The sequence below is a fragment of the Homo sapiens genome, chromosome 6, assembly GCF_000001405.40.
Source record: "Homo sapiens chromosome 6, GRCh38.p14 Primary Assembly".
In the NCBI taxonomy this organism is placed as follows: domain Eukaryota; kingdom Metazoa; phylum Chordata; class Mammalia; order Primates; family Hominidae; genus Homo; species Homo sapiens.
In genome coordinates, this window is record NC_000006.12 from 53036276 (window position 1) to 53061824 (window position 25549).

The window sequence follows — 25549 nt, forward strand, 5'->3', positions numbered from 1 at the left end:
TCTGATGTTTGTTTTTTTATATCTGATGTTTTCGGATCATCTCAAACTTTTATTTTCTAGAACAGAGGTTGGCAAACTATGTCCCATGGGTGAAATCCAGCCCACCACATGTTTTTGTATAGTCCACAAGCTAAGAATATTTTTGTTTTTGTTTTTTTAAGACTGAGTCTTGCTCTGTCACCCAGGCTGCAGTACAGTGGCACAATCTCAGCTCACTGCAACCTCCACTTCCCGGGTTCCAGCGATTCTCCTGCTTCGGCTTCCTGAGTAGCTGGGATTACAAGCACCCACCACAACACCTGGCTAATTTTTGTATTTTTAGTAGAGAAGGGCTTTCACCATGTTGGCCAGGCTGGTCTCGAACTCCTGACCTCAAGTGATCCACCAGCCTCAGCCTCCCAAAGTGCTGGGATTACAGGTGTGAGCCACCACACCCAGCCCAAAAAAGATAAAAAAGAATACTTTTATAAATGAACGGTTGCAATCAGTTTGATGACAGGGAACACTAACTTTGAACTCCAATTAAGTTAAATATTATGTCCCCTCAAAAAGAATATCATTCTTCTCACTGGAAGACCTCTAATACAGAAAATTATACTAAATTATTATTACATTTTATATTTTATAAATAAAAATTTTATGGAAATTTGTTTTTGCTCTTGTTACACATGTATCTATATAACATCTTCAATATGACCTTTTAGTCCTAGAAGCATAAAAGACTGACTATCTGGCCCTTTACAGAAAACGTTTGCTGATCCCTGCTTTAGACTTGTAACCTCACTTCCATGTACAGGACCCCTTTGGAGAAAAAGAAAGGGTGTTTTTCAGTATTCTATTAGGTGTTTCAAACAGGGCTGGGTGAGAGGACTAAAATTAGATGAAGCACCACTCCACTGCACAAGGAAGAGAATTATGCATGTAAAACTCAATGTGATCAATCTACTCTGACAGAGAGAAAAATTGGAACAAAATCAATAGAAGAAGGGGCAGGGGGAAAGGAGGAGAATAATGAATCCCAGGGGCAGGGGGAAAGGAGGAGAATAATGAATCCAGTCAGAAGGCTGAATAAAAGTAAAGATCGGTGCTCCACAATGCTTGACATGGCACAAAAGAAGGACCTCAGCAAGGAGGAACGGATGAGGAATCTTGTAAGGTGCCTCCTTTCTACCCGCTTCTGCCTTCCCTCCCCTCTGTGTTCAGGGTTAGGCTGTGGCCCAGTGCTGGTAAGTCTGTGTGAGGCTCAACAAGCGCAAGGGTGTGGGGGTCAATGAATTTCCTCACAGAAAGTGGAGTGCAAATTATTAGAGCAAGAAACTGAAGTAAGTACTGCTATTATGTCTAGGAAAAACACTCAACAAGTGATTTTCCTTTACGTTAATAATTAAGAAAATAGGCAATAATAATTCACTAAATCAACACATTCAACTTCTTTATATTGAAATATATTGATATAAGTGATCCATTAAAGATGAAAGCTTTCTAATAACAGTATATACAATTATACCATAATCTTCTGCTTCAGCTGTAATGTTATCATTTGCCTCCCTTTCCAGCATTAGTGAAAAAATTCAAATGAAATGACTATATCAACTATAAATCTAAGCATGTACAAAGCTATTTTAATCATCCATAAATTATTCCTTGGTATATTAATATATACCTTAACCTCCCGAAGGTTCATGCATTCCTCCCAGGAATAAAATTTTCTTTTCATTCTAGAAGAGAAGAAAGAAACAAACAGCACACTTATTCTCAGTAATAGGTTAAACTTTGCTTTTAGAAAAATGCTTCCATTCTGATCCTAATTAACAGTACTTAAAGTGGGTTTAAATTTCTACCCAGTATTATACTATCCCAAACCAGCACTTATTTTCAAACAGCAGTGCAATAATCCTAAGTCACAAATTTTGCCAGTAGCAGTGGTGTGGTGCAGTCCAAAGAGGCCTGGACTGCTGTCTTACTCTATACTAACTAACTAACCTTGCTCTGGAAGGAAATTGCTCAGGCTTATTCTATTTAGACCAGAGCTGTCCAGCAGAACTTTCTATATTGGTGAAACTGCTCTGTGCTGTCCAGGATGGTAGCCACTAGACACATGTGGCTACCGAGCACTTTGGCATGTGGCTAGCACAATGTGGGAACTGAATTTTAATTTTAATTAAATTTAAATTTAAATGCCACATATGGTTACTTGCTATCATACTAGACAGCAGAGTTCTAGACCCTCTAGTGCAGGAGTCAGCAAACTATGACCCATGGGCCAAAACCTCACCACCATCTGTTTCTGTACAGCCCACGAGCTAAGAATGGCATTTACCTTTTTAAATTGGGGGACAAGTCAAAAGAAGAATAATATTTCACAATGTGAAAATTTTGTGCAATTCAAATTCCAGTTTCTATAAGTGAAATTTTATTGGAACACAACCATACTCATTCATTTATATACTGCCTGTGGCTGCTTTCAAACTACAACAGCAGAACTGAGTAGTTGCAAGAGACCATATGGCCTGTGAAGCTTAAAATATTTACAGCCTGGCCCTTCATAGAGAAAGTTTGCCAACCCCTGGTCTAGAGCCTCAATGGAGAAAAGAAAACTCCAGAGTTAATCAGAAATTCAACTTTCAAGGTTATATTTTTCAGTGCATTTCAATCACATTGTCTCATTTGTCTTATAGCAGTCCTGTGAAACAGATAGGACAGCTGAGGAAACAGAAACAGAGAAGGTACACGACTTTCCCGAGGTCTTACTGCTGGCCAATAACAAACTTCCCATCTCTCCAGCTCACTCTGTCCTTGTCACACTGTCTCCCGGTAGAGTGATCAAATCCTTTATTCATGCCCGAAATATTATTTAGCCCCTGCTATGTAGTACAGTAGGTGCCTTGTCAGGCACTGGAGAGACAATGATGAGAAAGACATCCCTCATGAAACTGACATCATGGCAGGAAGGTAGAAAATAATTTTCTGTACCAAGTGCTGTGAAGAAAGGAAAAGGGCCTATAAAAGTGAACCTGACGGGAGCAGTGGCTCAGCCAAATGATGCAGCAATTTGTAGGTCACATAAACATTTGGGGCTTCATCCTAAAACTGCCAGGAAGACATTGGAAGCTGTCTTGGTTTGGATTCCTCCAAAAGCAGGGCCTGGGCAAGAACTTGGGTGCAGGTAGTTTATTTGGGAGGTGATTCCAGGAAGCCAGGGCAAGGAGCAGGAGACTGAGAAAAGAGAGGTAGGGAACCCAATAATGGGTGTATGAGTAAGCCAATAACAGGGTTGGCAACTGGCTCAGGCAGGCTGGGGACCTTTTAAGGAGCTGGACAGAATGCACCTTGGTTGAAAGTCTCCCACATGCACTTGGGATGGGGTGCTGGCATGGGCATAGAGCTGTGCGCTACAGCTGCACTGACATCAGGTGGGAGCAAGGGATGTGTTCATGGAACACAAAGAACATTTGGTCAAGTAGTTTTAGATGATTGAAGTTGTATGTTTAAAATAATCCCTTTGGTCTGATATGAATAGGGGGAAAAAAGCCAGGAGCCCTAGTGGCGGAGGACCTCATGGTGGAGGTGGCAAATGGTAATGGGTTGAATGGAGGTTAGCAGTGGGAATATACAGAAGTAGGTGGATGACATAAATATTACGTAAAATTGACAGTACTAGATGACTAAAGGTGAGGCATAATGGGGAGGGAAGGCAGGAGGACTCCCAGGTTTTGAGGGTATAGTACCAATTATTGAAATAGGAAACACTGAAGAAGAAACAAATTTGGGGTAAGAGAGAATATGCTAAATATGAGTGTAGTTTTGGGCATGGTGAGTGTGAAATGTCTGCAGGGCATTCAAATATAGATGCTGACAAGTCAACTGGATAGAGATAGTTGTGGCAGTCTCCAATGTGGTTCCCAGAGACTCCCACCTCCTGCTACCCAGGGCCTTTTAGAACCCCCTCTCCTTCAACGACTTGCTTCTAACCAACAGAATATAGCAATTTGACAAGGATGTCACTTCTGTGATTAATTTACAAAAGCAAGATATGACTTCCATCTCAGTACAAGTCTCTCATTGCCTTCTTGACTCCCAAGTTTTGATGAAGCAAATTGCCATGTTGTAAGCTGCTTTTTAGATGCCCACATGGCAAGGAACTGAGGGCAGCCTCCCACCAACAGCCGGCAGGGAACTGAGGCCCTCAGGCCAACAACCCATAGATCAACTCACAATCACAAAATGAGCTCAGAAGTGGATTCTTCCCCAGTCCAATCTTTGGATGAGACCCCAGCTTTGGCCAACACCTTGACTACAGCCTCATGAGAGATACTGAGGCAAAGAACTTAGCTAAGTTGTGTCCAGACTCCTGACCCAGAGAAACTGTGAGATAATAAATGTGTGTTGTTTTAAACAACTAAGTCTTGGAGTAAATTGTTACACAATAACAGATAACTAATACAATGTGTCTGGACTCAGGTTGTGAAGGGCAAGGGGGTGCAGAGGGAACAAGACAGCAGTCACCAGACCACCATACGCATGTAGATGGCCCAAATGAAGTCATCTTATTTCTTAGAGTTTCAGTTTCCTCTCATGTAAAATGATGTTTATTAACCTGCTTGTTACTACCTCACAATAAGAGAAAACACACTTTGATAACAAGTACTTTTACTATGTGCAAAGTAGTAAATCTAAAGTGGAAATGTTTTCAGACCTCTAACATGAGTGTTACAGAGTCAATAATCATCTAACCCACAGCAATCATTATCTAAGGTTCTTCTCTAGGCATCCTACCCACTCCCCTTTAGAACTGTTACAAAGACGGGTAATGGTGAGGGTAGAGTTAAAATTATCATGGCAGTGAAGGATCAAACTTACTTTTTAATAGCGATCAGCTCCCCAGACTCAATGCTTCTTCCCAGCAGGACGGAACCGTAGGTTCCATCCCCGAGCTGCCTGATTGTTGTGTATCTATTCATGGTGTGCCTGCTCAGGCCGGACACTCATCTCACGGCCGAAGTGGTTCAGTTCTGCAGTGGTAGCAGTCCTCCCCAGAGTGTAACCAGATTTTTCGATGGCAGCACCAGCACAAGGTATTCAATAGGACGTGACTGTCTCCCAAATACATATTTCCAAAAATCAGTCTTCTGCCTGCAGAGAAAAATGAGAGACAAGGATAAATGTTAATATACATTTTGAGTATACGTGTTTTTGTAAGTCTAAATCTGTGTTTTATTGGAACACAGTCATACCCACATACTTGCATACCATTCATGACTACAACAGCAGAGCTGAATAGTTGTGTGACGCTGTAGAGCCTGCAAAGCCCAAAGTACAGCAGGTTTTGGAATAATGTTGTTTCATTATAATGTTGATGAGGGACAAAAACTTGATTCCCGGCTGGGGCTGCTGTCCATGTGGAGTTTGCACATTCTCCCTGTGTCTGTGTGGGTTTTCTCCAGGTGCACACTAGGTGAACTGGCATGTCTACACTGTCTCAGGCTTGAGTGAGTGTAGGGTGGGTGTGTGAATGTGCCCTGCAATTGGTGCCTGTCTAGGGTTGGTTCCCACTCTGGGCCCTAAGCTGCTGGGATAGGCTCTGACCACCCACGATCGTAAACTGGATTAAGTAGGTAAATAATTACCTTACCTTTTTTTTTTAATCTTTCTTAAATGTATTTATAGCTCACATCCATTCCAATGTTTAATATTCAAAGTGTTTTAGTCTTTATTTGGAAGTTTGGTGATGTTTTTATGACCAGAAATATGCTGTAGGAACTTAACTCTTGTTTATATCAATTAGCCTATGGCAAAATTGGTTTTGTTATATGTTGTTTGGCATAAAGTCACAGTTTCCAAAGAACCTATTGATAAGTTAAATGAGGACTTAGTGTATTGACTATGTTGCCCTTTACACCGTTCACTAACCCTTGGTCTAAATAATGCTCTTTTCTAATTTCTTATACAACTAGAGATATTATGCTTGGAAAGTAAATTTGTCACTGACTCAGAAATGAATCAGCTCCAATTCAATGCTTTTCTGCTGACTAACCATTCTGGGCAAACACTGAGAGATAACTGTGGTCGATGAAAATTGCCAAGCTATGAAAATTTCGCTAAATATACTGTGTTCTATACACTTGAGCTACAATTAACAATGTAAACATACAAAAGCTAAGAAATGCTAAAGTTCTCCTGATGCAGAACTTAAGTGTGCTCCATGAACTACGTGTGGCTAAGCATCAATGGTATTATTATCACTACTAGACATTCAGAAGCTAAACAAAGAACTAGGAATTCAAGGCCTATGTGCAGGGTATGCTCCTTTTAAAGTCATTCAGTTTGTGTCTTAAAAATAATGTCATTGATTTTTCATTTATATAATTCAGTCTGCCTATAATAAAGAAACTGTAGTAATAATGTAAAGTGACTAGTATTCCTACAAAGTGTCCAGATCACAAAAGACAAGGACAGACTAAGGAACTGTCACAGATTGGAGGCAATTAAGCAGACATGCCAAATAAATGCAATGTGGGATCCTTCACAGGACCCTGGAATAGAAAAGGACACTAGTGAAAAAGTTGGTAAAATCTAAGTAAGATCTGTTGTTAGTAGTATTGTGCCAATGCTAATTTCCTGGTTTTGATCATTGTTCTATGGTTATGTAAGATATTAATATTAGGGAAAGTGGGGTGAAGGGTTTCTAGGAACTCTGTACTATTTTTGCAAGTTTTCTGTAAGTCTAAAATTAGTTCAAGATTAAAAATTTAAAAATAGGCCAGGCGCAGTGGCTCATGACTGTAATCCCAGCACTCTGGGAGGCTGAGGCAAGTGGATCACCTAAGGTCAGGAATTTGAGACCAGCCTGGCCAACATGGTGAAACCCCGTCTCTACTAAAAACACAAAAATTAGCTGGGTGTGGTGGCATGTGCCTGTAGTCCCAACTACTCGGGAGGCTGGGGCAGGAGAATCGCTTGAACCCGGGAGGCACAGGCTGCAGTGAGCCGAGATCACGCCACTGCACGCCAGCCTGGGTAACAGAGTGAGACTTGGTCTCAAAAATATATATATATATATTAAAAAATAAAATAAATAAATAAATCCAGACTGTGTTCTCCTGAAAGCCGTGTGTGAGCTTGAAAAATCTTAAGACATATAAAACTCCTGCCTGATTTTACCATGCTTTATCACAGAATCAAACAAGCTTTTAGAGATCAAGCCCCACTCTACCCACCCTCAGCTCATTCCCTTTCCCCTAGAACCACTGTAAGGCCTCTGGTTGGAGGGGCATTTTCCTTCTTGAAACTCTTCAGGATCAGACTCCCTACAACCTCCTTCAGTAGCTCTTTAGGGTGATGTATTCCATTGATGACTAATAAATATTTATAAAGCACCTTCTGTGTGACAGATCCTATCTTTAAGCTCTGAGGATATAGAGACCAATAAAATATGGTCCCTTCTTTTAAAGAGCTTAGAGTCTCCTGGCAGGGGATGGGGGTGTGGATGGGAGGGGGGAAGCAGATATGTACCACTCATGAATACAAACTAAGATATTTCAAGTATGTGGAGGGGAATTAAGGAGAAAGCCCTCTTGGTTTCCAGCTGGGTTAATTCCATCTGGGCTTAGGGAGGGCAGGAAAAATCTTCATAAAAGATTGTCTTAAAAAAGAGAAAAGTAGGTGTTTTGTAGGGCAAATGGGGTTCTAGCACTCCAAGAAGCAGAAACTAAGAGGCAGGGCTTGAAATTAGGGGGTGGGAAAGGGGGAACTTGTGGAAAGAGTTGGCAGAGTTTTGTTTATGGAGGAACCCAGATGCCATTTTTTAAAATACAGGTTTTGACTGGATTCTGTACTGGAGAAGAAAATGCAATAAAGCAGGGGTCCCCAAACCCAGGGCTGTAAACCAGTCTGTGGCCTGTTAGGAGCTGGGCCACACAGCAGGAGGAGAGCAGTGGGTGAGTGAGCATTACTGCCTGAGCTCCACCTCCTGTCAGATCAGCAGCGGCGGCATTAGATTCTCACAGAAGCACGAACCCTACTGTGAACTGCCCATGGGAGGGATCTAGGTTGCGTGCTCCTTAGGAGACTAATGCCTGATGATCTGAGGTGGAGCAGTTTCATCCTGAAACCATGGACAGTAGATTAGATAAAAATATTTATCTGTGTTAAAGTTATTGTAGTTGTAGTTACTGTCCTGTGATTCAGTAAGAATATAGTTTCATTCTTGGGAAATATACTCTGAAGGGTTTACAGGTAAAGGGCCATGATGTATGCAATTTATTCTCAAGTGGGTAGAACAAAAATTTTGTGTGCATTGCGAGGAAAACAAATGGGGTAAAATGTTAACAACAGGTAAATCTGGGTAAAGAGTATGCTATGGACTGAATGATATCCCTCCTCCAAATTCACATGTTAAAGCCCTAACCTCCAATGAGATTGTATCTGGAGACAGACCTATGGAAAGGTAATTAGGCTACAGAGGTCGTAAGGGTAGGGGTCTGATACAATAGGGCTAGTGTCTTTTACCTCTCCCCCACACACCCTAGCAAATGACGACACAGGAAAAACGCAGCCATCTAAAAGCCAGGAAGACAGCCCTCACCAGAAACCAAACCATTTGATCTTGGACTCTCCAGCCTCCAGAACTGTGAAAAAAATAAATTTCTGTTAAGACACCCAGTCTATGTTACTATGTTATGTATGGTAGCCCAGGCAGACTAAGATAGGATCTATGGGTATTCTTTTGGTATTCTTGCAATTTATGTAAATTTAAAATTATTATAGATTAAAAATTTCAATTATCCCTAAAATGGTAGAAGAAGGGAAATTTTTTAAAGATACAGGCATCTTAAATGTTTTATCTTAGATCAAAACATACAAATGCAGACTTATTTAATACAACTTGTTGAGAAGACAGAACACTATCATATACCATGGTTCCTCCACTTCATGATTACTGTATTATGGAATAGATTGGATTCAGGCTGTGCCTTAACCCAAAAAGTATATTTGGACCACAGCACAAGCAATTTTGGCTCTGCATTTGTTTTCCCCTTTTTCTTCTTTATCTTCAACTATTTTTTTCCTATAGCATACACACAGTCCTCAACTTTTGATGGTTTGACTTACGATATTTTGACTTTGTACAATGGCGCCAAAGCTACATGCATTTAGTAGAAATCGTATTTCGAGCACCCATACTATTCTGTTTTTCACTTTCAGTGCAGTATTCATTATATACATGAGATATTCAACACTTTATTATAAAATGGGCTTTGTGTTAGATAATTTGCCCAACTATAGGCCAATGTAAGTGTTCTGAACATGTTTAAGATAGGCTAGGCTTACAATGATGCTCAGTAGGTTAGGTGTATTAAATGTATTTTTGACAATGATTTTTTAACTTACAATGGGTTTATAGGGATGTAACCCCACTCTAAGTTGAGACACATCTGTGTATGAATCCTCCATCATTCATTATTTCACTTTCCAACAAATTAAGACTCCCAAACCATCGTTGTATGTCATCTTCCTAAAAAAAAAAAAAAAAAATTCCTGGAAGCTTGATTTGTCAAAAAAAAAAAAAAATCAGCCAACTAATAAACAATGTCTTTATTTTTATTTTTTAAAGAAGGCTTTGCCCTATAGACAATGGGAAGTCAATTAAAGTTTTGTAACTAGGGACTAACATGATCAGATCTGCATTTTGTAATCCAGTTAGAATATTTTTCTTCATGTCCAACCAAAACTTGCATATTCTAACTTAAGCAAATTTCTTCTGCCTAGTTTTCTGTGGATATAACGAAGCTATGTCATAAAAATGTCTATGCACATGAAATGAGTAATCAAGCATGTGTCTCTCAGCCTTCTCCTGCCTTAATTACATGACCTTTTCTCAGAGGAAGCATTTTCCACTCCTTTAATTACCTTTGGCATTCATCTCTGAATCCTCACACATTTCTCCATCTCCTTGATGAACTATGGTGACCAAAACTTAATAGTAACCTATATTACAGTAGCATGTGGGCTTCCCTCATGCTTTTTGCAATGGCATTATACTACTGATTTATATCAGTTATTAATAATAAAGCCTTTTTTGGATAATTAATGTCCCTTCCTCATCCACTTAAATTGTACAATTGGAACAATGGTTCCTAGATTATCACTGGGAAAGCTATCTGTGAAAGAATTAAGAGCTTCATTGAAATCCAGATAGAGTGGGTCATTCATTCAATGCACAGTCACCCCAACAATTCCTCCTTGTTATAGTCTGTCATATTATCAAGGAACAAAATCTAATTACTGTGGCAAGATATGACTCTCACCATACCATGGCAGTTACTTTCTAATTTCTAATGCTACTTCAGGTAATTACCTAACAACTATACAATGGATCAGACTAGTGTCTCTTCAAGCATTGATGGCACATGGTATAATTTTAATTAAACTTTAATAAGATGCTAAGCATTATGCAAGGCTCTTGGGCACATTATGGATAAGGCTAGGGTCTCTCCTTTAAATCACTCACAACTGACAGATACACAAAAAATGTAGAAACTGCTATGAGAATGCAGTAGACAGCAACCAACTCTTGGGAGGAGGAGAGAGATCTGACAATCCTTCAGAGAAGAGGTAGTATTGAGATATTAAAAAATGAAAAAGGTTTTCTTACACAGAAAAGGAGAGAAAGAAATTATAAGTGGAGGAAACTGTAAAAATGTTGGCGAATACAAGAGCTTGGTGTGTTCACAAGAGGGCAGGCACAGCCTAATGTTTCTCACCCTGGTTGAATACAGAATCACCTAGAGAACCTTTAACATTTACTCATGCCTAGCCCCAGCCCCAAGAAGCAGGTCAGGATGGGGGCTGAGCTTTGAGAGTTCTGAAAGTTTTCCAGGTCTAATGTGCAACCAGGGCTGGGTACGAGGCTAGAGCGTAAAACCAATTCAATGGAGGGCGATGGGGCAAATTGCAGGAAATAGCTAGAAAGTTAGGGTGGGCCCAATTATGAACGAGTATGTGTGTCATGCAGGAGTTTTTTGTTTTTGCTTTTGTTATTTTTTTGAGACAGGGTCTCACTCTGTCACCCAGGCTGGAGTACAGTGGTGAAAATCACAGCTCACTGTGGCCTCAACCTCCTAGGCCCAAGTAATCCTCCCACCTCAGCCTCCCAAGTAGCTGGGAGTACTTGGTGTACACTACCAGGCTTTTTTTTTTTTTTTTTTTTTAAGAGATGAGGTCTCTTTTTTTTTTTTTTTTCCCAGGTTGGTCTTGAACTTTTGGGCTCAAGCAATTCTCCCACTTTGGCTTCCCAAAGTGCTAGGATTACAGGCGTGAGTACACCTGGCCTCACGCAGGAGTTTGATTTTTATCCTACAGAAGGGAGTTCCTCAGAGTTTTTAAAGCAGAGAAACAGCATGAATAAAATCCCTCTGGAGACTACATAGATGTTAGAATAGAGATCAGAGGCAGAGACTAATTAGGAGGTTACTCCAATAGCCCAGGTGAAATATGATGAAAGCCCAAACAAAGGCACTGGACTGGGTGAGTCTTAGATACAACAGGAGACTATGGGTTTGAGATAGGGAATGTGTGTTTTTGTGTTATTTGGACAATGTACAGAGATGTGGGTTCTGTTTTCTCGGGGGCTGAATTTGAGGTATGTACAAAACCTCTCACTGGAGATGCTCAATAAGCAAATAGCTCTAAGGTTGTTTTATTTTTCCCCAAAGATAGAGTATTATTGGAGTTCTTATTGGGAACACAGCATTCAGACAAGGCTGATACACTGTGTAACTCCAGGGTACTCCATTCACATAGAACACAACGTGAAAGGTGCCCACTGGAGTTGTTAAATAAGGCAGCCTGTGTTCAGAATAAGGAATGCAATAGTCCCATCACATCCTTGGTTTACTGCTCCAGAGGCCAAACTTCAAGAGAAATATTAAAGAACATAGTGAGGCATCTAAATGAAAGTACAAGAAGGGTAGATGAAGAAACACCGGATGCTGGAAGCAAAGGAGACTTGGAAAGCCATGATAATTGTTCCAAGTGTACAAAGGATATCAGAGAGAAGGGTTAGTTACACTAGGTATGGTTCCAGAGAACAAGAACCATGACCACTCTTTGAGCTTTCTATTATTCACATTAGTGAATTATTTCCCATACTGAAAAAAAGTGAATGGTATTAGCCAAAATAGCATTAGACAAGAAGCACCAGTCAGCTCACAGTCCAATCTGAGCATATCCTAGCAGGATGTGGTTAAATACATTTGAGAATGGTATTGTTCAGCTATTCATCCTTTTTGTGGTGGCCCAAATATGATGAGTCACCTCATAATCTGAAAGTAAAGAACAAAAACTTACTGTTGCGCTGGGAAAATAGGGCGATGGACAATGCACTAGAAAAAAGAAGGGACCATGGTAGGCGCCTTCGCTGCTCTACTCCATAGCAATGCTTCTCTTCTTGCTTAGTTTACAGAACCTGATTTTACTCAGGATTCGACATACTCAGGCACAGCAGCCACCCCAGGGCATGAACTATGATAGATCTAAGCCAAGCAAAGGAATTCTACTTCCTTACTAAAATCTGTTTAGGAGTGGTGCCATGGCTCGGACTTACGAGAATGAAAGGGAAGTGAGCTGGTGAGGAAGAAGAGCTTCTGAGAAGGAATCTACTCCCTAATAAAGACAGTTGACAAAGAAGCGGCATTGAACATGGCTGTGTAAAGTGTGATATTTAGGGCTGAGGCAGAGACGGCTATGAGACATCAGCTCTAAAGATGAGAATCCCAGCTGCAGAGGGTGTATTCATAGAAAGAGGTTGAGTCCTTGATGACATCAGTGAGCTGCTGCTTGAACCCTGAAAATATATGCCTTTGGGCTTATTGTTCTACAACCTAATTGAAGGTCTCTGTTGAAGAAGTCACTGTTAATCTATCCACTACAGCTGAAAGCATTCCTGATACTATGGGCTACACCCACTTACAGTGGGCTATACTAACTTTTGTATTTTAGGTGACAAAATACAAAATTCTCTACAGGAGGTGACAGATAGACCTTTATGGTTAGCATAGTTTTGAAGACTGAAAGAGGTGTACAGCTGGAGACAAATTAGAAGTAACTATTAGCCTAATGTTCATTTGCTTTCCATTATCTGCTTCCATTTTGAAAGAAAATAAGATGCAAGTAAGATACAAACCTATTGTGGTAAAAGAATGTCCAAAAACGGCCCTCAGTATCACTCCAGGTTGCTTGGACAACTAGCTAGCTGAAGCTTTGTGACCTTGTGCAATCCAGTCATGTGCCTGTAACATGGCAGGTGGGAAACATGAAAGGATTCCACTTTGCATGACAAGTGGGGCCCAACATGGGGACCACTCTGCATGCCATCCATAGTGACATTTACTACAGATAACCACAGAGCTTCAGTCAAAGGCAACCAAGGCAAACACAGAACTCTCAAGCTGAGTTCTTTTTTCTTTTTGTGAGACAGGGTCTTGCTCTGTCTCCCAGCTGGAGTGCAGCTGTGTGATCATGGCTCACTGCAGCCTCATGGGCTCAGACAATCCTCCCACCTCAGCCTCCTGATTGGCTGGGACTATAGGCATGCACCACCAGGCCTGGTTAATTTTTGTATTTTTCGTAGAGACGGGGTCTTGCTATGTTGCCCAGGTTGGTCTTGAACTCCTGAGTTCAAGCACTCTGCCCACCTCAGCCTCCCAAAGTGTTGGGGTTACAGGTGGGAGCCCCTGTGCCCAGCCTCAATTGGAGTTCTAACAGGAAAAAAGGTTTCAGCACTCTAATGACTATTTTTAGTGTATTAATGTTAATACATCCTTCTTTGATACTTAATGGGAGACATCTACATCTACAGAGTCAGTGCTTCAAAGAAAGAAGCAGGCAAATATCAAAAATTTGATACTTGACAAGACATCACAATTCCAGCCTGAAATCTCTGAGTATATGACATTAGCATACAAAGATTTCACACTGTGTAGACCAGAGACCACATACTGGCAGCATAATATTTCACCCGTAAGTCACTCCATTGAGACCTCACTCCACAAGTAGAAGACCGTTTCTACTGCTGGGTTCTTTACAATTTGTTAAAAAAAAGAAGCCAACTATTATCTTTTCTATGGTTGTGAGGTTTACTTGCATTTGTGTGTGTGTGTGTATATATATATACACATTTCACATACATATAATATTCATATATTATAAATACATTATATATAAGTATATATGTAAATATGTGACATATTTATTTTATAAAATTATATAGGCTGGGCGTGGTCGCTCACACCTGTAATCCTAGCACTTTGGGAGGCCCAGGTGAGCATGTTGCTTAAGTCCAGGAGTTCAAGACCAGCCTGGGCAACAGGGCAAAACCCCATCTCTACAAAATACAAAAATTAGCTGGGCTTGGTGGTGCATTCCTGTAGTTAGTCCTAGCTACTTATGGGGCTGAGGTGGGAGGATTGCTGGAGTCTGGGAGGCGGAGGTTGCAGTGAGCCTAGGTCACACCACTGCACTCCAGCCTGGGCAACAGAGCGAGACCCTGTCTCAAAAAAAAATTTTTTTTAATTTAAAAAAGCATATAAATATGCATTTTTGATATACAGCAATATCTGAAATACGCTTAAGACACTTAAGTGTCAACAAAGCATCACTCAAGTGAAAAATTAACTATAAGGCCCTACGTTCAGTACTGAGATATAAGATCCACAGAGCTGTGGGTGGCAGATCTGGCCTCTGGGGACTTCTCACGCAGTTGGAGAGGTGGGAAATACACAAATGACCAGAAGACATGGACACTGGATTAAGTTCCTACATGGAGTGGAGATGAGAGTGCTACCAGTGCACAAGGAAGGAGTCACTTTGTGGATCACTGGCTAGGAATCTCAAGGAAGGCTCTGGGCCACCAATTTCTAAACTACAGCTAATTTTTCTTGTTAAGGACATGTCACTTATCCATATTTTAATCCAGGTATAAATAACAAAAAAAATTTTTTAAACTATACAAAGTTTTCCTTGTCAGTTATATTAATTTCCCACAGCTGCTCCAAAAATTTTCACAAAGTTGGTGGCTGAAAATAGCAGAAATTTATTCTCTCAGGTTTCTGGAGGTCAGAAGTCTGAAACCAGTATTCCTGAGTTGAAGCAAAGGTGCTGGCACTTCCTCCAGAGGCTCTAGAGGGAATCCATTCTTTGTCTCTTCCAGCTTCTGGTGGTTGCAAGCACTCCTTGGCTTGTGACCACATCACCCCAGTCTCTGCCTCTATGATCACATTTTCTTGTCTTCTGTTTTTAAATCTTCCTCTGTCTCTAGCTTATAAGGACTTGTGTTTTCATTTAAGGCCTACCAAGATACTGCAGGATAATCTCTCCATTTCCGATTTTTTGATTCAATCACATCTGCAAGGTCCATTGTGTCATATAAAGTAACACTCACAGGTTCCAAGGATTAGAACCTGGTATCTTTGCAGGCTATTATTTAGCCTATCACTCCCTAGCAAAACATCCCAAAGACTTATACAATCATCTAAATTACACAGCAGCAGTGTTATTCATTCAAAGTTGGGTGTTTTAGAAATGAAATCAGAAATCTGTGCTTACTTACCCAGCGAACAAGGACATTCTGTTTTAAAATATAGAATGTACTTATCTCTTTTATTTTACTTTAAGTTCCGGAATTCATGTGCAGAATGTGCAGGTTTGTTACATAGGTATACGTATGCCATGGAGGTTTGCTGCACCTATTGACCCGTCCTGTAAGTTCCCTCCCCTCGTCCCACCTACCCCACAACAGGCCCTGGTGTGTGTTGTTCCCCTCCCTGTGTCCATGTATTCTCATTGTTCAACTCCTGCTTATGAGTGAGAACATGCAGTGTTTGGTTTTCTGTTCCTGTGTTAGTTTGCTGAGGATGATGGCTTCCAGCTTCATCCATGTCCCTGCAAAGGACATGATCTCATACCATTTTATAGCGGCAAAGTATTCCATGGTGTATATGTACATTTTCTTTATCCAAGCATACTTCTAACTTTGCATAGTGAACAAGACTTGACAATTCTAGCCTGAAATCTCTGAGTATATGACATTAGCATATGGAGATTCCATGCTGTGTAGACCAGAGATGGCACACTGGCACTCTGGGGGCTGAATCCCAGATTTAAAAATAGGGAATTTCGGCAGGGCACAGTGGCTCACACCTGTAATCCCAACACTTTGGGAGGCCAAGGGCAGCAGATCACAAGGTCAGGAGTTCGAGATCAGCCTGGCCAACATGGTGAAACCCTGTCTCTACTAAAAATACAAAAATTAACCAGGCGTGGTGGTGTATGCCTGTAATCCCAGTTACTCAGAAGGCTGAGGCAGGAGAATTGCTTGAACCCAGGAGGCGGAGGTTGCAGTGAGCAGAGATCGCACCACTGTACTCCACCCTGGGACAGAGTGAGATTCTGTCTCAAAAAAAAAAAAATCAATAAATAAAAAATAGGGAATTTCCTATATAAATCCCTATTTGGAGCTTCTCTGGAAACACTGAAGGTCTAACCACCTGGGGTCCTTAGCCCTTCACGGTAATAAGAAGTGGAAGAAATGTCCGTACCTCTTCAGGCTGGGCGTGTGCTCTGCAGCTCACCACAGTCCCCATTTTTTGCCTGTTGCCACTTGCCATTTTTTTTTTTTAGCTGTCATTTTTTTGTGTGCCTTCATAGCCACTTGTTTTACTGGATGAAAAATATTTCTCTGTTCCTATGCCTATAACAAAAGTGACAAAGTAAAAGCCTGAAAAAAAAAAAAACCTTATACTTAAAGAAAAATTGGAAGAGAAGAAAAATTGTTCTTTTTTAGAAGAGAAGAGCAATTTCTTACTGTTTGACAAGCACACACCCAGCTTCCTTGAGTCTTTTATTTTCCTCCTCTGCCCTGACAGCATTTAAATTCAGCTTCTGGTACAGATAGTTAACACTGCTTGAGAAGTGAATGGAATGTAGCAGCCTGTCCATTACCTTGAGAATTAGCATGTATTTCTAACTCGCAGTATTTCTAAATTCTGCTTTGACTCCAAGAATTAACTTGGATAAATCATTCACTACAACGAATCTACACTTAGCACCCTCATATATCAAATATGCCCAAAACATGATAATTTTAGTACTTAGTATGTGCATAGTACTATTATAAGTGCTTATGCATATATTAGTACATTTAACCCTCATAATTCTACCAGGCAGGTACTATTACAATTATCCCTATTTTACAGAGAAGGAAACTGAGACACAAGTTACATGTCTAGATTATACGACTAATGTGGCAGAAATGAGACAGGAACCCAGGCTGACTGTACCAAACTTAAGGGAAAGCTTTCAAAAGATCATGAAATCTTTGGAGGATCTGAAAATGACAGGAACAGAAGTAGTACTTTGTATCTCAAAGCCCAAATATGAAAATGAATGATATGGCTATGTTCTAATTGTCTTCATTCTGCAATCAAATATCAGCGAATCCTCTGGAGCCATTGGCAGCACCAACATGCCCACAGTGGAGGCAAAGTGAGGGACTGGTTCCAGTTTCCACTCAGCACTGATCTGCTGTGCCTCGGGGCATCTCTTGGTCCTTGAGTTTACTTTTGGTGGAATTAGGGCATGGGACTTGCTCTAAGGTGGTTTCTTCCTCTAAAGCTGTGTGATTCTGTGACTCTGTATCAGGAATTGAGCTAGCATTTGTCTAAGAAAAAAAAAAGGATAAATGTTTCTGCTTTTTGCATCACATGAACAAAGGTTAGCGGAGAAGACAGTGCCACCGAAGGACCCTGTATGCTACACACCTTTCTTTCAAGAGATGCACAAGTGCCCCAGTGCCTCAGCCAGGCCCCAGTAAACATTAAACATCGATTCCTTCTCTTTCGAGCTCACATGTCACCTCTTCCAAGCCTCCTGCCCCAACCTACACATATAGACCCGAGAATGGTCCTCTCCCTTGATGCCATAGTGCCTTGTCCTCACCTCACTGCCAGCCCCTTCCCCGTGGCAATGACCTGCAGGTGTACCCTCTGCTTCAGCCTCGACACTCTCCAAGACTGCTTCATCTTTGTCTTCTCACTCCACTTGCAGTAGCAAGTCCTCAAAGATTGTTTGAAGGGCCCAAATGTGAGTTTTAGTCTTTGCTATTATTTTCTGTACCACCTTGGCTAAGTACCTCAAAATTCTCAGTGCTTCTATTTTGTCATACACAAAACAAAGATAAACTGTTGGGCCCAACTAAAAGTTCTGAAGTTCTGAAGTGGAAGAACAGTGAATACCACAGAATAGCTGGGGCAGGCAGGCAGCCTGGGCCCTCCCACAACAATGCCAAGATGACTGAGTCTCAGAGGATCACAGAAAGTCCCCCTCCATGCGGTCAGATCAGGCCTTTGGCCTTTGGGTAAGGCTGTACTCAACTACCAAAGAAAGACAGCTTTATCTCTCTTTCAAAGAGTTCCAGCAAACCTTTGAAGTCAATGTTATGATGTTCCTGGCTAGGTGACATTGGGGAAAAGCTTCCTGTGATTTGCCCCAATTCCCTCCCCTCAGCGTCAATCCTCGGTGGAGGCAAAGAACATTTGCTCATGGCCAGCAGCTCACATCAGGTGCCTTGCTCATTCACAGCCTAAAAAATGGAGGCGAGGGGCAGGGAAAATTGTAGTTCATTCTTTATTTTGAAACCTTAATCAATGAATTAATGCCATCATTACACATTTTCTAAGACAGGAGACAAAAAGTTACAGCAAACTTGGGGTTCTCTGGGAGTTGTGGTTTACCAGGCCCACTGACACCATTCAGTTCCTTAGAAGGAGCTTGTCTCCCTTTGCATTAATTATCTTACATTGAAAAGATTCTGTTACTTTCATTTATCCTCCTAGGAAAAGTGGATTATATGCAAAATCATTAGATGACCCTTCTCATGGTAATTCTGAGTTCCATTTTACCTTTACAGGTTTATAATTAGACTTCGTATTCTAGGTTTGAATGTGTCCTAACTTTACAAAAGTCAGTGAATACTGTTAATTTCTTTTAAAAAGGTACTAGAAATAGTATATCCGGGTTTATGTTTTTCTCCTGGACCTAATTCTTCTGCCTCTGTACATTTTAGCAAGCAAACCTTTTAAGCATTTTGCCTCTTGGACTACTGCTTTTTTTCTGCATAAGGAATAGCAGTTACAAAGCCAAAAGGACCTTCTTTACATGGATCTTGCTTTGTCTTTACCTTGACAGAGGAGTGAATTAAAGATGCATTCAGCTATTGCATCAACTGGATGTTAACAAGAGAAGATAATCCGTTACATGATGTGCCTTCTTCTGTGCCCCAGAAACTTCTTCATACCTTTACCATCCCTCTCCTCTTTCAATCCCAGCTTCTGAAAAAAGAACTCGTCCTGCACTAGGTCCTTAATCCCATGAGAAGCTTCCATAACTCCCTGTCGCTTCTCTTACAATATAAAAGGTGCTCACGCCTTGAACCTTAAAAAAGTTCTTCAATCACTTGCAGATGATTTTTAAACTAGGACACATAGTTGGCTTTGGTGGACTGTAAAGAACTGAAGTAAAGGCGAAATGTTAAAAAAAATAAAAAATAAAAAAACAGCCAGAAAAACAAACCTTTACCCTGCCATGTGTGAAACTGTAGATGAGCTAGAACGAGAGTCCCCAGCTTAATGAAAACTGCCGAGGGTGGCAATAGTCCTGCTTGCCTGTGTTTCAGGGGTGGGCAAGATAAGGGATAGTGAAGATAGGGGAGTGACTAAGAGCATATCACAAGTTCATGTAGATAGTAACTTTCATGATACTGGCAAATAAGTAGCTGGACGTTACACAATAATACTTTACCTTTCTGGTTCTAACGCATTATCTTTTACGGTAGTTACAAGGACAGCCACATGTTATCAGTATTTATATGCTATTACAACACATTTGACTAAGGAGCTGATCTCAGTGTAAGATGCTTTGCTAGCATGTATACAAAAAATCAAAATGAATTAAAGGAAGTAAAGGCTTAATGTAAAAATAAAATAGGGCAGGGATAAGCACGTTTTTTCTGTGAAGGGTCAGTAAACAGGATAGGCTTTGCAGGCTCTCCATCTCCGTCACAACTCCACTCTGCCATTGTAGCATGAAAGCAGTCAAAGACAATATGTAAATACATGGGCATGGCTGTGTTCCAGTACAAATTTATTTACAAAAACAGGCAGCAGGAAGGACTGGCACACAAGCCATAGTTTGTCAAGCCCTGAAGATGAGGAAATCCCCCAAATAAGCAGAAGCACTTTAGTACTCTCCATAGAGCCCTCACTTACCCCTAGGTTACAGGGCTACATACAAGCTGTGTTTAACCTTAGAATATAAGCTCTGTGAGGTCAGAAACGTTGCAATATTCACAACTGTATTCCCAGTACTCAGTTCCCAGAGAACTGGCATAGTTGGCACAAGTACGGACTCACAATAAAGACATGTTCAATGAATTAACTAATGAATGAACAACTTATGGAGCTTTAAAAGGCAATCCTGACCATAGATGATTTTCCTATACTACCACGTCCACCCTCACTGTCATCCCGTCACGCCCCACTTCTTTGCAAACTGGACAACTGTACTGGGACTAGGGTACCAAAATTATGACTCCTTCTAAAAACTTTTACACTAATTTAGGAAAAAACTTGCTTTTCAACAGCTAAGATCACATGAAGGCATGTATATCTTACATTTTTCTTACTCCCCTTTGTCTTAGTTAAATCATTCTCTAGTAAATTCTCTTTCAAAGCAAAGGCAATGTCCAAGAGGGCAAAACCATTAATAACTATCTTTTGGGAACCACAAGTTCATGCAGATAGTAACTTTCATGATATTGCCAAATACGTATTTGGGCATTATACAATAGTACTTTCCTTTCCGGTTCTCAGGCATTATCTTTTATGGTAGTCAAAAGAGCAGTCACATGTTATCAATACTTTATCACAGGTCATGCTTCACCTATAGAAAGGTAAAAAATAACTCACACTGATCTCTCCTAAAAAAACGTGTGGTTCTCATAAGCTCTGGGCCATCGTTATACATTTATTAAGTGGCTACTAAGGGTTCTTGACATGGTGGGAAAAGCACCAAATGAAAAGCAAGGCACTATTGTGGCCCTTTCATTTCAAAAAAAGTGAGTTAGGATGACAATCATCTGCTAGGAACTACAAGTTCACGCAGATAGTTACTTTCATGATATTGTCAAATATAGTTGGACATCACACTTATAATACTTTATCTTTTGGTTCAGAGGCATTATCTTTTATAGCAGCCATGATGAGCTTATTTAAAGATAAAATATAACTGAATGCTAATTAACATAGATTTGAATGCTAAATTCATTAGGAACTATGTTCAAAGCCTAATGTTGAACAAACTTCAGACAATAGAGTTAAGAATTTTTTTTTTCTGTAAAGGACCTTAATGATCACTTGACATTCTCACTCTACAGATGAGATCCAACTAAGAAGAACAGAATACTTGCTATCTTCAGAGTAGAATATTTTGAAATGTGTGAGTATAATACATGTTTTATAGCCAACTAAAGATGTATCAAATGTTCCCCACGTGCTCCTTGGTAAAAAGCATATGAATATTTTGCTAATCCTGAGCCCATATAGTTTAAAAAAAGGGGGGAGCAGATGTTTGAAGATGTGCTATCCTCAAACTCAAACATGACTTCACATGTCAACATATGTTGGATTTGATTTCAGCCTGCTCAGGTAAGTCCCACGACAAGACACTCTTCCTACCCAGGAAGACTTCAACTTTCAAAGCACAGAGAGTCAGGTACTTAATGTGCAAAGATAGTTCAGTTTCCTTGGAAGAAAATCAGGAATAGAAGCCTTCTGTTTGGGTTGAGTGTTTCCCTAAAACCTGTTGAGTAGTAGTTTTTCCTAATATTGGACAGCAGTTAACTAGGAGCAGACAGATTGAATGAAGATGCCCATATCAACCTTGGTTACCACCTTGAGGTAGGCCTGAGCTGCTGCTTTTACTTCTTTGGCTGCAATCAAAGGCATCTCTGATTTTCTTCCTGCCACAACATTTCCTTAGCATTTTAATGCAATTTGCCCCAGAAAATGATTTGTTTCACCAAATTCTTTTTACTAGGTAATTTTCTAGAACACATGTGCTTTTATAAGGAAGTTAAAACTGTATTTCAAAGGTAAGCACAACCACAAACTAAGACACAATTACACTGTAATCCCAAAACGTGTATAAGTCATCCGGCACACACACACCTCTGTTTGCGCATTCTCCCTGATTCAACCACATCAACCATAAACACTGAGGTTCACAGATAGGAGAGTTCTAATACTCTAAACATAGGCCCTTCTCAGAAAGCCACAGTCATCAAAGACCACAGGTGAAAGACAACAGTTAAATGAGATACTATTCACAGGCTTTCAGATCAACATACACAGAGAGGTCATTATATCCAGAATTCTCCCAAGGAACCACCAGGCAAATACACACACTCACATAGATCCCACAAGCAGAAAAATGCATTTTATAAGGGCAGACATCAATAGAACGGCTAGGTACCACTCCAACTCTGCAAGATCCTACAAAATGAAATGGAGGAGACTGCTGCAAGAGGAGCAGTATAAAAAAAAAAAATTAAGCAGTAGTGTTCCTGGCAAGGTTCAGATGGAAAAACAGCAACAGATCCCAGAAGCAGAGCTGCAGCCAGGAATAACCTAAGCTCAAGCCATTTTAAGTAAGGGCAGGATAATACTTACTAAGGATTCACTGCATGGTTACCCTGGTTCTCTAGGCCTCCAGGCTGAGTGTTCAGGAATTGGACTCTGTTAAGTTACTGTCAAGGGATAAGCAGACCTTTATCATGTATATGCCAGTTATGGGTAGGCACTATAGACCATCTTCACACCACAACTCGGGGGTGAAACTGGGGGGGAGCATTTTCCCTATTTTGCACATGAGATTAATAGTAGGAGAATTACAGAAGGCCACACAACTAATAAGTGGAGTCAGGCCCTTGCCCCAATTCTGCTGTACTTCAAAGCCCACAATACCACATTACCATGCATAACATATGGCTCCGGCCCTAAAGAGGCTTAAACTAACCTAAACCAATTGGAGATCAATACAGCCAGTATAATGAAGGGCTAACAAGCAAGTATCTTGAGAAATAGAAAGAGGAAATATTATAAGAGAAGTAGACTTAGGCTCCTCTGAGGACAGGTAGGAGTCGCACAGGAGAGTAAAGAGAAGGGAGGTAGTTTCTAGGGAAAGCACTATGAGCAGTGACACTGCAGTGGCAAGAAGCCTGGCACCATTAGCAGGACAGCAAGAAGACCAGACTGCTTAGAGTGCAGAGATGCATGCTGAAATGAAAAGAGGATTTTAGATAGGAAGGGAAAGGCTGATTATGATAGGCCTTGAGAAGTCAGGCATATTATTTTAGACTTGAGATAGTACATAATGGAGAGAAACTGAAGGTTGCACGTCCAGAATAGATATGATGAAGTGATCATTTTAAAGATTAGACAGGCAATAGAACACTGAAAAGACCAGAGGGATGCTTCTCATTCATTCATTCATTCAGCAACCATTTAATGAGAGCTTACTAAGAGTCAGGCTTGGGAGGCTGTTGCAGTACTGCAGGAGTGGAAGAGTGAGGACTAGATTAGAATATAGAAGGAGGGATCCATATAAAACATATTTCAAAGGTCTTGATGACTCATTGATACAGAGGATGAAGGAAATGAAGGAAAAGATGGTTAAAGATAATTCCAATGTTTCAAGATTAACATAATTTCCACTGTACTAGGAACCTCAAAAAGCAATGAGAATAACAAACAATAAAGTATAAAAAGGGCTCTGATGATGTTGAACAGTCAATAAATAAAACTGCTAAATGGCTTGTTTGATATCCTAGTAGTTCATTTACACTTAGTCTGTGGAGAAGAAACTTCAGTGAAAAGGCCTTTTCTTTGTGATTAAATGCTGAGTTCCCTTGGCAAGGACAGCAGGGGTCTACCTAATCAGACAGGCTCCAATAACCCTCCAGCACACCCCTCCACCATCTGAACCTAGATTGGTTTCATTAGGAAATGTGACGGCCTCCCTGCTGCCTGGCCACCAGTTTTGACTTTGGAGAAGGGGATAAGGCAAAGCAGAAAGGGAGAAATAAAAAGTGGGCAGAGTCACTTAGAGAATGGGGAATGGTACCGGATGTCATTTTAAATAAAGGATCCCAGTACTGCTTTCCTTTCTACATCTACTTCTAGTGTTTTACAAGTCCTGGTCCTCAAGTAGACAGGAAAGCCTTAAAGAGTCTTTACCAAATTGTAGCGCATTGTTCAGAAACTATTTTAAATGTGCATATTTATGCATATATTAACTCCCAGCACAGTTCAGCAAATGATTGAGACACAAATTCTTCTTAATAATTTATATGTTGACTACAGAAATTTAAAGCTCATTTAAACTTTATATTCGGCAATGGTGCCATTCACTATTGAAGCACACCCTGAAACTCCACTCACTGGGAAATGTGAGAAATGAAAACTGTAACTATCAAACTTCTGTTACTACAAAGAGTTCTACCGGCCAAACAAACAAACAAAAAAATTCAAACCCCACAAGCGCCCATACCTTAGAGAAATCCATCCCGCTTGTAAAATTCAGTGTGGAATTCCCTCAGCCTAGCACAGCTCCAGCAAAAGCAGGTCTTATTTAGTTGTAAGTGGAAAGGAATACTCTTCTCTGCAGAATGATGCATTAGCTATATTACATATAAGTCCTTAATGTTAGTGTCAAAGTCAAACTTTAAAAGGTTAACATTACAAAAGAATCAGTTGTTCTGGAATATCCGTCAATATCCTTCTCATAACAGCTACTCAGATTAGTAAGAAAGAAATCAGAACAGAAAGAAATCCAGTAAAAAATGGTTGCAAATAAGTACTCGAGGATTTTTGCTCAGACCCCTTGTGGGACAGCCAAGGGCCTAGTCAGGGAAATTCCGAAAGCAAGTCCTCAACGTGCCCCGCAACGAGGCTTCAAATTAGCTAGGGTCTTCCCCCTCCTTAAGACTAAAAGATAAACACCCGTCAAAATCCTCCAGGCTCCGAGTTTTCATACCAGGAAGGAGAGATCCACAGGATCGCGGAAAGAAACTATAACCCATTAGCCTCTTCCTGCGCCTCCGATCCGTCGCGGGGCCACGGCCAGGGGTCTCCCCGCCGCCCCATCCCAGCAGCTACTACAGTGACAGGTCGCCCGGCAGAAGCCCCTAAATCCCGGAGCCCCACTTACTGGCGCCGCGAACGCAGGCGGGGGCCCGCCCCTGAGGTGAGCGCAGCTCCTCGACGAGCGGGGCGCAGCCGCCCGCTCCGGAGCTGGAAATGGGGACAATCCCTGCTAGGACCGGCCGAGGGCTCCGTACAGGGACGCCCGCGAGGTCCGGCGAGTCGCACGGGCCGCACGGCGCATGGTAGTGCAGCAGGAACCCGGCCGTTTTCCAGCCTCCGGCAGGAAAACAAAC

The 25549-nt window shown here is 41.0% G+C and overlaps 2 protein-coding genes across 10 annotated transcripts in view, besides 1 other annotated feature; both read right to left on the bottom strand.

The window, feature by feature from the left end:
* The window catches only part of CILK1 (ciliogenesis associated kinase 1), a 60522-nt gene extending 34973 nt beyond the window's left edge, over nt 1-25549 (bottom strand). For 3 of the 9 annotated variants that reach the window (NR_164684.1, NM_014920.5, NM_001375397.1), the window contains exons 1-3: nt 25321-25549; nt 4861-5133; nt 1664-1718 (exon numbers count right to left, since the gene is read on the bottom strand). Coding sequence is in view for 8 of the 9 variants with exons in the window: in NM_014920.5 (NP_055735.1) it covers nt 1664-1718; nt 4861-4961 (156 nt within the window). In the remaining variant the exon portion in view is untranslated. Of the gene's footprint in view, nt 1-1663; nt 1719-4860; nt 5134-9390; nt 9515-24660 lie in introns of all 9 variants that reach the window. The other 6 variants (NM_001375399.1, NM_001375400.1, NM_016513.5 and 3 more) reach the window with 6 other exon arrangements.
* On the bottom strand, nt 4991-5110 carry LOC128092246 (uncharacterized). The gene has a single exon (NM_001414897.1). It carries the CDS (start codon nt 5108-5110, stop codon nt 4991-4993), a length of 120 nt encoding a protein of 39 aa, NP_001401826.1.
* Nucleotides 7797-8351: an enhancer, noted in NCBI's record as "H3K27ac hESC enhancer chr6:52908870-52909424 (GRCh37/hg19 assembly coordinates)". NCBI's record gives its function as "activates a minimal SCP1, AML or CMV promoter by ChIP-STARR-seq in primed H9 embryonic stem cells {active_cell/tissue: H9 hESC(primed)}" and the evidence as "EXISTENCE:reporter gene assay evidence [ECO:0000049][PMID:30033119]".